Here is an 18,499-nt window from a genome sequence, read left to right as displayed (position 1 = left end):
AAGAGAGCAACAACCAGCTGGGAACACAGCTCAGCTCCTTTAACTAGTACCTATGTTCTAGTTTGCTAAAGATGCCATCACTTGCAGAACATAGATACAGGTATCTATAACCAGCATATACCCAGTTATTTATATTTTTAGTCTGGTTCTTATAGATATTTGAGTTTGAGATCACTGCTCACAAAGTCCCTATAGCTCTACAAACCACAGTAATAATCTAACACAATGACAATGATACTGGAGAAAGAGAGATGAACTTGAATGTCCCAAAAGCAAGGGCAAAGCAGGTGGTATATTTCAACTGCATGTAGAATTAATCCATCCTCATTTCTTTTGTTTTCCTGTTTGCATTCTGTGTTTTCTCATCTCAATTGCTGCTGTGTGTTTTCCTTGAATGTTTAGTTAACATTGTAAACAAACACCTTATTTTCTATTAAATTATTAATCAAGAATTACACTAACTCTAGCATCTGGAAATGCAGCATTCTGTCTATTACCAAATGTCCATGTGGTTCAGTGGCCTGGTAATTAAAATGACACCACCATGACACATACACAAGCTAAAATAAAAATCTAAAGTAAGTAGGTATTTCCAAACATACAGAAATAAGACCTTCCCCAGGGAAGCAATAGGATGCAGAAAATGCAATAAAGAACTAGAAGTCAGGAATGTCTAGATTTTAATCTTGCTTCAGTACTTATACAATCTTAGATAAGAGATTCTTCTTGGATGACAATCAGTTTCCTCATCTGTAGAATGCTTTTTTGTTCACAGAGTTCTGTGAGGAAAAAAACTATGCTCATTATAACAGAAGACATTTTGTGAACTATAAATCAAGGGATAATATTGTTGGCAATTGTCTTAACAATCCAACTGATAAAGTAAAGCTGGTGATTTTCTGCTGATATACATTCACATTTATATTTCAAGGATTTGACCAGGCCCCGAAATACTCAATCTACTCTACTTCAGAATAAGCAACTAAGCATGCAATTGCAAAAAATAATTGAGCTCTTTAAGTCCATTGATAATACTTAATTCTATGAATATGCATGTGGAGAATAATACAATTTCCACAGGGTGCCTAATGTCAGGCTGTAAAGAAGCAGCAGCTGATTTCCATTTGGAAACTAAAGCAAACCCATCATTAAACATCCCGGATGAGAACTGACAAGGTGGATTACTGCAAACTCTAAGCAAACTTTACAAGTACCTTTAATTAAACAAGAGTCTATTCGTTTTTGCCATCTCATTTAGAAGCATTTATTTAGGGGTAGCATTTCTACTTAAAGACTTGGTTAGTCACTATTTTTGACTCTATTACTAGAGAAACTCTCAGTATGCTCTCTGACTGCTCTAAGAGGCCCTGTTTATATTCAATGTATTCTTCTCTGGTTGAAATTAAAATGAGAAAGTCTTAACAGCCTATGATAAACAACACTTTGGATCTAAAATGTAAAATGGCTTAGTTTGGGGGTTTTTGAAATCCTGGATGACCTGGCAAATCAATCACATTATTTCTGTCTCAACAGATAATGCTATGAAATGGAAGATTCTGCAAGTTCCTTCTCAGGAATGGTTGGCATCTCTGTGTGCGTGTGTGTGTGTGTGTGTGTGTGTGTGTGTTTGTGTGTGTGTGTTTGAATTGCACTATATCTAAGGTAAAAGTCTGTGGGGCTTATGTCCTAAAATTACAGGGTGAGGCTGAGTTAGGAAGAGATGAACAGAAACAGTTCTCATGGAGCTTTGCTGAATCTTTTGCAGAGCACACTGTCAATACGAAGAGATGTCTCTGAAGCCTTCACTTGCTTGATTTAAAATAGAGTGTAAGAGCCCGGCATTACCCAGATTACCTTTATAAACAATATATAAGAGCTCCTTGGGAAGGCTCATATTATGTGATTACTCATTCAATAAATGAAAAAAATGTTCAATAGTTATTATATCCTCACATTGGGCCAAGGGGCAATATGAGCAGTACCCTGTGGGCTGTCCATTTATGCAAAATGAGAAATAAAGGATCACAAAAGTCACATAACTTGACCAGAGCCCCATTGCTTATCAGCAGCAGAACTGGAGTTTGCACCCAGATGCAGGAAACTTCAAGGCCTATTTTGCACCATGCTATTCGGAAATCATACACGATGCCAAGAAGAAAAAAAATCAAAGAAACAGCCCATAAGGAAAACAACACAAATATCCATCAACTGATGAATGAAAAAAAATAAACATGCTATATTCATACAATGGAATATTATTTGTCAACAAAAAGGAATAAAGAACTGACACATTCTGTGGCACGGATTAATTTCAAGAACATCATGCTAAATGAAAGACTCCAGTCAGAAAATACTACATATTGCATGATTCTATTGACATGAAATGTCTAAAATAGGCAAATCTATGGTCACAAAGTAGATTGATGGATGCTGCTTAGGACTGGCAGTTGTGGAGGGGAATGGGAATGACTGCTAAGAGTTCTGAATTTCTTCCTGGGGTGATAAAAATACTCTAAAATTGATTGTGCTGAAGGTTGCACAAGCCTGTGATATACTAGAAACCATTGAATTTTGTATTTTAAGTGAGTGAATTGCACGTTATGTGAATTATGTCTTAATCATGCTGTTACAAAAAATAAGTCGCAGGAGGAACATGAAGAAACATGAGCAGGGCATGAAGAAGCAGAAAGAGATGACCAACACGCATGGAGAGGGTCATTGTAGATCTCCACTGTAGATTTCAATGATATGAGCAGCACTGGGTTTATCTTCATTGGAGACCATGGTGAAAAATACAGTTTCATGCAAAAGCAATTGTGATAAACTTCCAAGGAAGTCCCTTATGGCCTTACTGATGAATGTGGTTAAAAGGGCTTCCTTCAAAGGTTTATCTCTCCCCAGTGGGCTACACCAGGGCTTTTATCCTTTTAACTCGTATGAACTCTCCTTGCATGAGACCCATGTGATAGTCAATCATATTATTTGCCTTCAGGAGTCCTGTATCTAGCGTTATGAAGAATCTTCTGATCTTATCCTATGCTGATGGACGGTCAGTCATTTTTCATAACCCCAAATCACCATCATTAGTTTTTTTCTCAGGGAAATGCACCAGGAAATTCCCCAATTGCACGGGCCTTTCATCTCCCCTCATGCCTCTCTCAAACACCTCCAGTGCCTCTCTCTGCCACTCTTCTCTTCTACCCATCCTCAAGCTTAATAACACTCTCTTGGCCTAGAGACAAGAGGAGAGGCACAGATGGCACATCTTGAGAGTTAAATTGGTTTAAAATATAAGTGTCATTTTCTTCATGAAAGTTAAGAGGAGAAATAATTTACAATTCTCTATGAAACCATTATTTTAAATAGAGGGAAAATAGGTGAGCCTATCATGTTCCACATGTTTTAAAACATGCAGCCGTTCTTGTGTATATCACTTAAAGAAGAAAAAGAAAATCTTTTGGTGATAAGAAAAAATTACTTAAAAAAAAAAAAAACAGTTGTGGCATCATGCTATAAAGAAACTTGGCCAAGGAAGGAAGGAGGTTAGTGTTATGTCTATACTAATTTCAAAGTCACCACCAACTTTCTGTGTTATTCCCTGGTGCAAGCTTGTACATCTTTATAATGCCTTCAGAATAATTTATCACATAGTAAAGATTTTAAAAAATCATTATCCTTTTGATCTAAAAATCCTTATACTTCAACTTTAATATGTTCTTTCTGAAGAAGTTGCCACGTATATTTTACTCCTCTGAGAAATCAACAGCAGAGCACTCAGACAAGGTTTTAGGATCTTCTAATCCCAGTTTTTAAAATGTTATAAAAGTTTTTTGTTCTGTCTATCTACCATGACCCATACGTTCAGGTAGAAGGCATGAAGACCTGCGAAGCATTGACAAAACTAAGCTGGGGAAATCATTAGAAGGAATATCCAGACATTTCAACTAATGATTTAAAGTAAGTTTATTAGTTAGGAGTACTTCTTGCCTATGGCAAATATATTAGCATAGCATAAGTAAGCTATGAATAACATTGATTTATGTTTCGTCTTCAGGCTACTTCAAACTGTTTTTTTTTTACTACCAAAAATCAAGGGTGGCAGACATTTCAGCTTGGTTTGGCATCCCAAAAAGCATTTTTGAGAAAGAAGTCACAAATGGCCCAAATGTATTAGTATTATTCTCTCAATATCAGGGATGAATTAAGGAAATTTTGTTTTGCTTAAAAAAAATAATAACTATCACACACACTTACACACACACACTCACATATGTGCATATATACATATTTTCTAAGCTGGTAAATCTTTAGAGAGAGAAACTATAACCATAAGCAAATCCATTCTCTCTTGTTCCTCATAAAGGGTTTACCTCAAATCCACCAAAAGCTGCACAGTTTGGAGCTTTCAGGCCTTCCTGTGTATTAGCTTTAAGCATATACTTCTTTTATAAGGCCCTCAGAAGACTACAGAGACAGACCAAAATTAATTGAAATGATTTCACATTGCATCATTTAAGACTGGTCACCCAAGAGTGAATTAGGCAACAAGGCTGCATGTCTCATTGTTCTGATGCTGCTGGCTCTGAAGTCTCTTTAAACCCTTGTTAAGCTACAGAGCAGTTTTCGTTTGAAAATCCCTTCTATAGGAGAATAAAAGACATTAAAAATACGAATGGCTATTTACCATTTATTATGTGCTAGGAACTGTGGCATGCCTTTGGTGTATCATGATGTCCATTCTATGTGCACTGGAAAATTCCCTCATGTTAGGGGATGGGAGAAGGAGAAAGAGAGAATCTACACTTCAGCCAAAATGAAGGATGGGAGACATTAATCTCTTCATAAGTCAGACATGTCATTTCCTTCTAACTCTTGCTTACCATATGTGTTTCTCAAAACTCTAAATATATCCATACTTGATACATGTTCACATCATTATGTTCTGTGTATTATTATAAGCATTAAACCTTCATACATACTTCTCACTGAATAGGACTGCATGCATGAACCCATGCATTCTCAAATTTAGAGCCAGTTTAAGGGATTTGTCAGGGGTAAATGTTTCTACCTATGATTATGATTTTACCTCCTGGTTGAGAATAGAACCCAAGGAAGATGCAGTGCTCATATAATACATTAGCTTATATAATCCCACAACAACCTTTTAAAATGGATATTTATATTCTCTTTTGTCATTTAACTGGTGACCAAGGAGAATCTCAGAAAGATTAAAAAATCAGCTGACCACCCAGCTTTTACTTAGAAGAGATGGGATTCAAATTCAGGTCTGTCTCAATTCAAAACCAACTGCTTCTCTTATTTTAAAAAATGGTACTGACAATATTCTCTTATTTTAAAGGGACTGTTAAAAAAGCTGTAGCACTATATGATGATTAAATAATCAAAGTAAAGGAGGGAAGGGCCATTAAATATGCATTTGTTGGTTGGGGAGGTGACATGGGGTGGGAAGGAGAATATATCCTCTATAAGTTCTGTTTTTATCCACCTTCCTTTCTCCTCTGTCACTTAGGGAAATGACAAAGACAAGAGAAAGTTACAACTGAAAACAACCCTAACTATCCAACAATAATACAAACTGATTTCGTCCGTGAGTTTTATGCTATTTCTCAAAATTTAGAATGTCAGTGTTCTAATAGGATAATTTATTTCCATACCTAAAGCTGGAAAATAGGGGTTTTCTTAGATTTAAAAATATTATTTAAATGAATCGCTGAAGCCTATTTATCATCAACAATCTGATGCAACTTCTGAGTAACTCCCTCAAAGAGGGCAGTGGCTTTGATTAAAATTCACGGTTTAAGCTTGCAGAGGCACTACATTTTTAAGCTAAGTGTGTTAGCCTTTTATTCAGAACATTTTACACTTTGTCCTTTTAAAAATTTAAAGACTTCTTGTTCAATAATAATCCTCAAATGCTATATAAATTATGAGAATCTTACTGGCTGCTCATGATTCTCAACAAACACAATTTTTAGAATTATAATTTGAGGAATTCCAAGCATCAGCTCCTGTCCATAAGCATCCTTGCCCTGGATCAAGGTCCTCCTGGACAGAATATGATGAAAATTGTCAGTTAGCATCACTCCTTAGGCAAAGGAGTGAAGTTGAAAACTTCAACATATGTACAGCATGGGACAGACACCGTTCGATTGTCTACTGTATATGAGGCATTAGTACAGAAAATGCAAGATCTCTACATATGTACAGGACGTAGTGTTCGCTCAGCTTTTATTTTTTATACCCTCCTCTTTGTTAGGTTTTGTAAAAATTTCTTTATTTTTTAAGAGACAGAGTGTCACTCTGTCACCCCGAGCTGGAGTGCAGTGGCAAAATCACAGTTTACTGCAGCCTCAACCTCCTGGGCTCAAGCAATCCTTCTGCCTCAGCCTCCCAAAACGCTAGGATTGCAGGCATGAGCCACCACGCCCAGCCTTTGTTAGGCATTTTAATCAAGCACCTACAAGGACCTCACTTTAGAATATTCCATCAGATGTTACCAGTGTCAAATCCAAAGGCATTTTCTCATTCTTCATCCTAATTAAATATTTTGTGGCTTATGGCATGGTTGACCTTGCTCTACTTAATAGTCCCTTCTGCCAAGAAGAGGATAGATTCACCCTTCTATTCTCTGAGTATCCTTTCTCCATCTCTTCCACTGACTCACCTTCCTTGGATTGTCCCCTAAAAGGGAGCATTTCTAGGGTCGTGTCCTTGGCCCTGGTACCTTTATATTCCCTCTGCCAGTCATCTCATCCCCTGATGTAGCCCCATTTATAATCTATGGGTGATGGTTTTCTTATCTTAATTTCCAGATTCACGTTCTGATTATTTCCATAAAAACATTTCCAAGTGCCTATTTCCACATCCTCATCAGAAGCCCAAGAAAATATATACTTCATATTTTTCAAAACCAAACTTCCTGTTTCCCAGTCAGATGTTCTCCTCCTACCCTCCATCTCATTTATTGACTATACTCTAACCTAGTCATCCTACTTGTAGTCCTTAAAACCCACTCTAGAATCCTCCCTCTCTCTATGAACCTGTCTCTACCCACTTGGACCAGTTGCTAATCCCTGTCAAGTTGCCTCTGAAACTTCCCTCCTCCACCTCACTCCTTCCCATCACTCTCATTGCCCAAATGGGACCATTATCAACTCTTGGCATTCTAATTCCTCCTTCTGGTTCAAGTCCTGCTTCTCTCAGTGTAGATTCCACATTTAGAATAATTTTTCTAAATGCAAATTTAATCAATCCACTCCTTTGTTAATAACCTTCGGTGACCCACATTTGCTTCCATGGTAAAGTCAAAATACTTTGCTATGCAATTCTACATTTTCCAAGAGCTGGCTCAGGATTAACTTTCTAGTATTTTCCTTTCTCACTTTCAATTTCTCTCTCACTCCACTATTTCTTTATTTCCCGATCATACCATGTAAGAGCTCTGAATTTACAGTATCTTTGTATTCTCAGCTTAAGATGTGATCTATTCTGTTTCTTTACAAGAACAATGTTCTTCTAGCTCAAAGCCAGGCCCAAATATTAACTTCTTTGTGCAACCTTTAATCATGGCATACTATGTAAAATGTTGCCTATACCAGGTAGTAGATACTACATTGAGCCCATTTCAAATATTTTACTAATTTACTCTTCACAATAAAGTCATGACTTGGTTCTTCCATCATACCAGTGCAGAAAACTCTACTCAGAGAGATGAAGTCGTTTCCACATCCCAAAAGCTAGGAAGTGACAAAACTGAGCTTTACACCCAGACAGTCTCATTCCAAAGAAATGTGCTTAATTATTGTGCTATGCCACCTCCTGTCACCATTTAGGACTTTCTTCTGAGGATGTGAATTACTTGGGGGCAGGGATTTTGTGAAATTTATCTTTGTATTTCTAGTTCTCAGCATGTAGTAGATATTCAATAAATGTTTGATAACTTGTGTTCAGAATGAGTGATGCTGCAGCGTTCTGCTGTAGTTAAAGGCGCTCTGCACTACAGCCTGCAGTTGGGCTTCTTGCATATTTTGATCCCACATCTCTCGCTCGCTCCTCGCTCTGCTCATCCTGGCTTATTATTGGCTTTGATCCCTTTCACAGCTCCTTTTATCATCAACTCTGTGAGTCTGGGATGGTTGCATCTCTATATTTACTGGATTAGACTTCTTAATTAATATTTAACTCCCTTTCCTTGAAGAACAAAATGAAAGCAAAAATGAAATCACCTTCTAGAATTCCTTTTTGATATACGAGGCAGAACTCCCGCTTGTGACAGGTTCCCAGAAAAAGAGGACAGTCACTTTAAGTGAAAATTATCTAATCCCCATCGCCTTTAATGTCGGATCGATTCAAGAGCAGGGATTTACATATCTGCCCAAGGACCTGACAGCCAAGGGTTATGAAGGAGACACAGAAATCACATTTAATCATTTGCATGTGATAAATCTATAAGCTTTCAAAGCAGTCTACATTGACTAAATATGGCAAAAATTATTTTAAAAACAGTAACACCAAAAATAATCGGTACTATGCATGAATTGTTTACTACGTGCCAGGCACTTCGCTAAGAGCTTAATATACTAGCCCATCTCATTTAATAATCATAACAGGAATAAGGGAAAGGGGGCTGGGTGCTGGTGTAATCCTAGCACCTCACGCCTGTAATCCCAGCACTTTGGGAGGCCGAGGCAGGTGGATAACTTGAGGTCAGGAGTTCGAGACCAGCCTGGCCAACAGGGTGAAACCCTATCTCTACTAAAAATACCAAAATTAGCTGGGCATGGTGGTGCATGCCTGTAATCTCAGCATCTCAGCTGCTCGGGAGGCTGAGGCAGGAGAATCACTTGAATCTGAGAAGCAGAGGTTGCAGTGAGCCAAGATGGTGCCAACTCCATTCCAGCCTGCACAACAGAGCAAGACCCTGTCTCAAAAAAAAAAAAAATAGTAAGAAAGAGAGAGAGAGAAAGAAAGAAAGAAAGAAAGAAAGAAAGAAAGAAAGGAAGAAAGAAAGGAAAGAAAGAAAGAAGGAAAGAAAGAAGGAAAGAATAAGGGAAGGGGACAATTATTATCCACATTTTGCAGAAGAAACTAGTGTTTTGAGATCTTATTGGTAATTTGCCAATGTCATGGAGCTGATAAAGGACAGAATTAAGGTTTAAACACTTGTCTATCTGACTCCAAAATTTCTGCACTATAGCCTCGATTGTCTTCATATCAAAAATTATGATATTGACACCCAGAGAGATTTAGGTCTGTTGCCCTTGGAATAGTAATGGCCATATAGCTAGTTAGTCGCAGAGCTAGGACAAGAAATTACATCTCTAGACTTTTTCTACTAAGCCCTTGGACCTCTCCCATTAGTATGTTACATCATCACAGTGCATGGAGTATATATAGTTCTCATATTTTCTTCATAAAAATACATTGGAAGTTGAAACAAGACTATGGTCATAGGCACAGTTTTCCTAGGAGAGATAGTAATATAAATCTTTGATATTTTTAAAGCTGTAAAGCCCACTTAGTGGATTCTAGAGAAAATGATTCTGAGACATGTTTTAGAGACTTTTTCTTGATGCGAATTTCAGAGAAGCAAACAAAGATATATGAGATCAAGTTGCTATTCTGGTATCTTCAAATTGCAGATACCATTTCTTAACCTACTCTTTCAGCAGGAATAGAAACAGTATCTTGTACCCTATGAATAAGATACATATTTCTTTACAAGGTATGATATAATCACCTTCCCATGGTTCTCTCAATCTCTTCCATGATGGTTTGTTAATTCACCACATTATTAATCTCTTCAAAATAAGAAAATTGTTATCTCTTCAAAATGAGAAGGGTCAGTTTTATATTGAATCATGGACACACGCATACTCAATGCTCGGTTTGCAACAAAACCTATCAATCACGGGTCCATATACATTGTTTTATAAATGATTTCACTATCATTTTCTTTCATTAGTTAATTTTCAGAATGTTTTTGTGATTATTTTGAGAAAAACTTTGTTGAATTAAATGAATAAGGACTTAAGTCTCCTGATGAGTATGGTTTTAACAAGATAATATTTTCTTATCTTTCATTTTTTTTGAGTTTGCCTTTCTATTTTCCTTTCTCTTTCCTTTCTTCATTTTCCTGCATTCTCTCCTATTCTCCCTCCCTCCCTTCCATGGTTTTGTGACTCATTCTGACAAGCAACGTGGTAGCCTTTGGAAACACACATAAATAAGATGTTGTCCCTATATTCAAGATTTCTTACAGTGTGTTAGAAAATGTTTCTTCTTTCTCTCTGCACTCACCAAGGACATCTTGACTCTTTTTATTAAAGGAAGATTCCATTACTTCTCCAGCATCAAAAGTTTATCACTGCCTTCATTGAGAAATAGATTGGGGATATTTCTCCAGGATCAACAATGAAACTCTCCACCAGGACTGAACCACACTTTTGCTGGTTCTTCTAACCCCATCCATCATCAGGAGTTAAGAAAGGTGCCCAAGATGCATCTCTCCCTAGCCCTTGACATTCAAAGCCTTACCTTCACTGTCTGCCTTCGCCCTTGTCATGTCTACTGTCCCTCTGTATGTCAATCACTGAAAAAAGTCTTAACCATTTCTCCAAATGCTCATTTCATGGTCTCGCTCCAGTAGAAATCTTGTTCTTCCTAAGGACACTACTTTCCCTGGAGTAGTTACAGGTGGTGGCAGTTTTTCCTCCCTGTGCCCTCATGCCACTGGCACTGAATATATAAAAGAGATACACACTGCTTCTTGTCCTTGATACAGCATGATGCTTCACTGCTCTGTAGACATCCTCAGCTTTGCATCTCTTGCCATCAGATTTTATCACCACATTACCTCTTATTCTTGCTGTCATTCACTGACACCCCTATTTAATCAACAACTTCCCATTTTCTCCTTCTTTCAACCCCTGGCAAATTTCATTCTACTCTGTGCTTTTATGAGTTTGATTATCTTAGATACTTCATATAATTGAATGCATGCTGTATATGTTCTTCTGAGATTGGCTTATTTCCCTTCACATAATGTTCCCAAGGTTCATCCATGTTGTATCATATGGCAGGATTTTCTTATTTTTATGGCTGAATAATATTCTATTGTATGTATACACCACATTTTCTTTATCCACTCATACACTGATGGACATTTAAGTTCTCCCCACATCTTGGTTACTGTGAATAATGCTACAATGACTTTGGGGGTGCATCTATCCCTTTGAGATTCTGATTTTAATTCTTTTGAATAAATACCAAGAAGTGAAAATGCTAGATCATAGGGTAATTCTATTTTTAATTTGAGGAAACTCCATATTTTTTTCTATAGTGGTTGTATCATTTTATATATTCCCACCAACAGTATATAAAAGCTACGATTTCTCCACATCCTTGACAACACTTATCTCTTTTGTTACTGCTTTGATAATGGCCATCCTAACAGGGGTATGAGATGGTATCTCATTGTAGTTTTGATTTCTATTTCTCTGGCTATTAGTGATGTTGAGTGTCTTTTCATATATAGCAAGTCCTCACTTAAAATTATCTATAGGTTCCTGGAAACTGAGTTTAAGTGAAAGGATGTATAACCACATCATTTTTTTTCTCATCAACTTTATACCCTAGGGATGTCAAACAAAATGGCATCATTCAAGAGTCACTGCACTTTGTTTTCCTTAAAGTTACAATTTCCAAGAACTTATTGATGAGATTAAGTGAAGACTTGCTATATTTTTGGCCATTTGAATGTCTTCTTTGTAAAAACCAAAAACTTTCCTTCTAAGATCAAGGACACGACAAGGATACATGCTCTTACCATTTCTATTCAACATAATGCCGAGAGTCTTAGCAAAGCAAGTAGACAAGAAAAGGGAATAAAAGGCATCCAAGTTAGAAAGGAAGAAGTAATGCTATCGCCGTTTCCAGATGACACAATCTTATATGCAGAAAACCCTAAAGACAAAAGAAAAATATCCCAACCCCACAACCTGTTAGAACTGATAAACCATTCAGTAAAGTTGCAGGATACAAAATCAACATACAAAAATTAGTAATATTTCTATACACTAACACTGAACTATTTGAAAAGGAAACTAAGAAAAAATCCCACTATAATAGCAGCAAAAATATATTTAGGAATAAACTCACTCAAGGCAGTGAACGACTTGTACAGTGAAAACTATAAAACTTTTATAAAAGAAATTAAAAGAGACACAAATAAATGAGAAGGCATCCCATGTCCATGGATTGGAAGACTTAATGTTGTTAAAATGTCCATACTACCAAAAGCAATCTACACCTCCAATGCATCCAATCCCTACCAAAATTCCAATGACATTTTTTAAAGAAATAGAACAAATAATCCTAAAATCCACGTAGAACCATAATCTTGGTTCAAAGCCAAAGCAATCTTGAGAAAGAAGAACAAAGCTGGAGGCATCACATGTCCTGATTTTAAAATACATTACAGCCTGGCCTGATGGCTCACACTTGTAATCCCAGGATTTTGGGAGGCTGAAGCTGGTGGCTCACTTAAGTTCAGGAGTTTGAGACCAGCCTGGGCAACATGGTGAAACCCTGTCTGTAAAAATAGAAAAAAAAATTAGCTGGGCATGATGGCGTGAGTCTGAAGTTCCAGCTATTCGGGAGATTGAGGCAGGAGAATCACTTGACCCCAGGAGGTAGAGGTTGCCTCCTAAGCCGAGATCACACCACTGCGCTCCAGCCTGGGTGACAGAGTGAGACTCTGTCTCCAAAGAACAAAACTAACTAACTAACTAAATAAATACATACATACATTTATTTATATTTATTTATAAGTCTATGTGTCAAACTGACACACAAAATAGTGTTCAAAACAGTATGATACTGGCATAAAAACAGACACATAGACCAATAGAATAAAATAAAATGCCCAGAAATAAAGCCACATTTATATAGTCAACTGATCTTCAACAAGGATCCAAGAATACAAAAAGAAGAAAGGATAGTCTCCTCAAAAAATGATGTCAGAAGAATCAGTCACATGTGAAAAAGATTAATTTGGATCCTTATCTTTTACACCATACACAAAAATAAATGTGAAATGATTACAGACTTAAAATGTAAGACCTGAAACTGTGAATCTCCTAAAAAAAATTGGGAAAGAACTTCATGACTTTGGTCTTGGCAAAGATTTCTTGAACATGACATCACGGGCACAAGCAATAAAAGCAAAAATAGGTGGGACTACCTCAAACTCAAAAGCTTCTGCACAGCAAAGAATACTAGCAACAAAATGAAAATGCAATCTACGGAATGAGAGAAAATATTTGCATACCATATATGAGTTAAGGAGTTAATATCCAAAATATATAAGGAGCTCCTACAACTCAATATCAGAAAACCATATAGCCTTATTTTAAAATGTGCACAGGATTGAGAGTAATCTTCAAGGAATTGTTTGCAGACACTTCTCAGCCAATACATCCAGAAATACTCCTACCTTTACCTTCAAAATACATTGAGAATCAGATCACTTCTTCCTACCGCTATTGTCCCAGACAGACACTGTCATCTCTTGTCTTGGTTACTGCAATAGCCTCCTGTTCTCCCTACTCTTGTCTTCTTCCACTATATTCTCAACACAATAGCCAGAGCTATCCTTTTACATGGGAAGTCAGATCATGACATTCTTATGCTCAAAACTCTGTCTGGATGCTTATTTCCCTCAGAGCAAAGGCCACCATTTTAAATAATCTGTGACACCCTCTATGACCTGACTTCACCTTCATTTCTCTGTTCTGGTTTCCTGCTATTCTGCCCAATTTGCATTCTGCTGCAATCACATTAACTTCCTTAAATACAGCAGGAGTGTGCCTGCATTAAAATCTTTATACTAGCTCTTCCACCTGACTGAAATGCCACACCCCTGAAATCTGTATAGTCAATTCCCTTTCACAGCTAGTTTCTCTGTTCCTTGAGGTTTTCATTCAAATGTCAGCATTTTAATAAAGTTTTCCTTGGCCCTCCGACTCCCGTTTACTACTGCAAAACTCTCACAATCACAAACTCCTATCTATTTCTACTGTCTTCTTTTTCCCATACCATTTATCACTACATAGCATAGTTTTTTCTTTATTTCCTTCATCCCTCCCTTCTATTTATCTCTCCCTCTCTTCTATTTTCTCTCTTTTTTCTTTATTTCAAGTTCATTTTTTATTGCCTAATAAAAATTAACTTTTTTTTTCCTTTTTTTTCCCCCGAGATGGAGTCTTGCTCTGTCGCCCATGCTGGAGTGCAGTAGCATGATCTTGGCTCACTGCAACCTCTGCCTCCTTGGTTGAAGCAATTAGCCTGCCTCAGCCTCCCGAGTAGCTGGGATTACAGGTGCCCTCCACCACACCTGGCTAATTTTTGTATTTTTAGTAGAGATGGGGTTTCACCATGTTGGCCAGGTTGGTCTTGAACTCCTGACCTCCTGATCCACCCGCATGGAGAGGAAAATGTGTTTCTAGTTTGTTAATGAATATACTCTAAGCATAATAGACAATAGATGCCCAATAACTAACTAAATAAATATTCTGAGTACAATAAAAGTTTGTAGTTAAATGTTATTGCCATGAATTACTCGATACATTTTGAAATTACAGACAACATATTAGTCAGGCTTCTCCAGAGAAACAAAAATAATAGAATATATATCTAATGAAGAGATATTATAAAATATGGCCTCACATGATTTTGGAGACTGAGAAATCCCATCTGCTGCCTGCAAGCTGGGGAAAACCCGTAGTGTAGTTTCAAGGCCTGAGAGTTGGAGAGGTTATGGTATAGATTTGGTCTGAAAGCCTGAGAGACAGAAATGCTGACGGCAGGAGAAAACCGCTGTCCCACTTTAAACAATCAGCCAGAGTAAACTCAACCTTCCTCTATCTTTTGTTCTATTCAGGCCATCAGTGGATGGCATCATGCAGACCTGCACTGGGGGAGACCATTGACTTTCCTCAGTCCACTAATTCAAAAGCTAATCTCTTCTAGCAACAACCTCTCAGGCACACCCAGAGAACATTTAACCAGCTACGTGGACATCCTACGGTCCAGTCAAACTGACACATAAAATCAACCATCAAACTAGTTTACAATTATATGAGAACTCTTATCTTATTTATTTTTGTTCCTGTGACCCTATCCCTTTTTAAATTCCTTTTCTCTTTCTCCTGTACTGATGAGGCTCAGCCAGTCTTGCCTCCTTTGAAACAGAATAATGGAAAGGAAAAAAGACTGTGGGTTGAGAGATGATAAAAGCCACACCAACACCGGAAGCCATCAGGGAACCCTAAAGAAAAATCACACCAACAAGAATGAACAAAGAACTACCTTCTGCAAACCACTGATTTCAGTCTCTCCACCCAACACTTAAGGACTACTCAGAGTTTGCTCCTGGCTCCCTCCTCTTCTCTCTCTACCTTTCCCCTTGGGTAAGCTCATCTACTTTCCTGGATATATATGGGCCACTCCTATGCTGCTGATTCTCAAATTGACATCTCCAGTCCAGATCTTTTTCCTAGGTTCCAGTCTTAATAATTACACAATTATCCACATTGCCTTTCTACTTAGTTGTCTTACTTAACAATGTCTAAAATGAATAAGCCCCAAATCCTATCTTCTTCAAGTATTTCTCATCTTAATACTTAGGAATCCATCCAGTGGCTAAAGTTAGAAATCCTTGAGAGTGCTTTTTTTTTTTTTTTTTTTTTTTTTGATGAAGTCTTGCTCTGTTTCCCAGTCTGGAGTGCAGTGGCACAATCTTGGCTCACTGCAAACTCTGCCTCCTGGGTTCAAGCAGTTCTCCTGCCTCAGCCACTCGAGTAGCTGTGATTACAGGCACAAGCCACCACACTCAGCTAATTTTGTATTTTTAGTAGAGACGGTGTTTCACCATGTTGGCCAGGCTGGTCTTAAACTCTTGACCTCAAGTGATCTGCTCGCCTCAGCCTCCCAAAATGCTGGGATTACACACGTGAGCCACTATGCCCACCCAAGAGCTCTTGCTTTTCTTTTCTCAACTACTACATTCAAACTATCATCAAGTTCTGTATACTCTAGCTCCAAAATTCATCTCAAATCATTTACTTCTCTACTTTGGTGAAGGCTACACCATTTCCCCTAAATTCTTGATGAAATGGATAAATAAAATGTTAAAAAAAATTTCAAAGGAGTGGGAGTACACCTGTAGTTAAGGAAAACAGAATGATTTCATAGAGGACATGGCACCTTAGATAATTCTTTGATAATGGATAGGTATGTGATGGGTAGGTGGGTTTGGGGATACCACTGCAGCCAAAAAGAACAGGGTGAACAACGACACAGAGGAAGAGAGTATGCTCTGGAAAAAAAATAAGTAGCTCAGTTGAGCTGGAGCTGAAAATATATTTAGAAGAGAAGTGGGAGCAAGGGCTAAAACCATAAAATTGGACTATATTGTGGAGGGCCTGAAATACCACAGTGGGACAGATTAAGTTGATTTGTATACTTCCTGCTTTCTCGACGTGCCTTGTTGTTCATAGCCATAAATGTGTATCAGTGGAAATGGAAGACAACCTGTACTCTCTTAATTGTTCTGCATTTCACTGGGGTCTTTTCCATTCTAAATGTACAAGGGAATGCCCCAGAATATAGAAATGTTTCTACTGTTTTTTTTCTATATCAATTATTAAGCAACACTGTATATTAGCAGAGCCATATGCTTATTATAATAGTAATTGCTTCCACATGCTTATTTTCAGAGTCTTTTCTTATGTACTGAGATATTTATCTTGCCTGCAGAACTACCTATTTTGTGAAAATACCAATAGCAGGGCCACCACTGTGTTTATGATTACTAACCTCATTGAATCAAAGGCACCGCAGATGGAGGAAGTTTTAAGAATATTTAATACATAATTTACTCGATTCTGTCTCCTCAAGGTGCCTTGCAGACTGTCTTAGTAGATGTGAATTTCCTTTCATCATGTGGAATGCAATTCTATCCTTGGTTTGTTATAAATTAACAATCTGATATAAAGTCCTGCATTCCAAACAATAGCTGACATACTTAATATGGAAAAAGAAATTCCCCACTCTACTCAGAGCTAGCATTTCTTCTTTGGTCAGTGCAACAATTTTAAATTGCTTTCTAGTTAGCACTGATTTCTGATAAACCAAATCAACTCCGTAAATACATTTGGTGTTCTATCCCACAGAAAATAAGTCGCATGCTTTTGAAAATGCAGCCAAGTGATCTTCACACCAATAAGTGAACACTTTTTAAGCATTTGTATAAACAATAAGGTACAATAGGACCTGGGATCACTGTAGACATTGATCTGGGATCACTGTAGACATTGTAAAAAGCTAATACAAACTAAAAAGTGAGATGCATCGTCCCACTATCTTTCCATATGGAGAAGAAATACAAATCATGAAATAAAAAATACACGTAGACAATGAATACATGAAGAGTTGCTCAGATTAAAGTGAAGGGAAGCCAGAATAAAAATATTTCGATCCGTAATTTGGTAAAATATTAATGATCATTCCCAGTGACTCCTGAGCTCAAGGATTCCGTGTGCCTGTTGATTTTCCCACAGTGCTGGTGCAAGAGTTCCTCTGAGGACACTGGTTGAAAAGGATTGCAATTTCACATAACTGTGTATGTTCTAAGTCTTCTAGGAATTCATCTTAAGAAAACAGTCAGGGATGTCCACAGGAATGTAGCTATAAGGATTTTATCCATCACATTGCTCTTTACTGCAACTAAAATAAAAATTAGTTAAATGTACAATGAAAGGAAATTGAGGAAATGGATTACATTAAAGGAGTACTATGTCCCTCTTAAATATTGGAGAAAATATTTAATGTCATGGGGAAATGATTTTAGTTTATTTCCAAAAAAAATAATGCTATATAGGGCATGTAAAACATGCCAACTCTGTAAAATTATTAATTTCCCTCTCACTTTCTCTCAGATAGACACACAGACTGAAGGATATATGCATCAAAATATTAACCATAGTTATTGTTGGTGTCAAATTATAGGTGATTTTTATTCTTTTTCATGCCTATATGCATGGATATATATATATATATATATATTTTAAATGCACTATATATATACGCACATATGCTTTGCATAATTCTATGTTATATAGTTAATACAAACGTATATCTATAAATAATGCATATAAAACATATAGATATCTTACTTTGGGCAGCATAAAGATTTAACAATAAAAATTGGACTTTTTCAGAAATTGTTAGTATTAAAGTGAAAAACTGGTAGCATTAGGATTCTGTTTTATTTTGAGAGTCCAAATGGGCTGAGGATCTTTAGAAAGTAACACAGAGAACAATATTTTTTATCAAATTCTATAGGACCTGATAAATATACTTACTCTGATAACATAAGGGAGAATGAGAGTAATAAAACTTAGTACTCATCTTTAAA

At 37.1% G+C, this 18,499-nt stretch overlaps 1 protein-coding gene across 9 annotated transcripts in view; it reads right to left on the bottom strand.

Moving 5' to 3' along the window:
* Positions 1-18,499, bottom strand: part of TENM2 (teneurin transmembrane protein 2) — a 1,285,129-nt gene that overhangs the window by 856,761 nt on the left and 409,869 nt on the right. The gene's annotated exons all lie outside the window — the stretch shown is intronic.

The sequence above is a fragment of the Homo sapiens genome, chromosome 5, assembly GCF_000001405.40.
Source record: "Homo sapiens chromosome 5, GRCh38.p14 Primary Assembly".
Taxonomy (NCBI): Eukaryota; Metazoa; Chordata; class Mammalia; order Primates; family Hominidae; genus Homo; species Homo sapiens.
The sequence above is the reverse complement of the archived record's forward strand: the minus strand, read 5'-3'. Positions and strand labels throughout refer to the sequence as shown.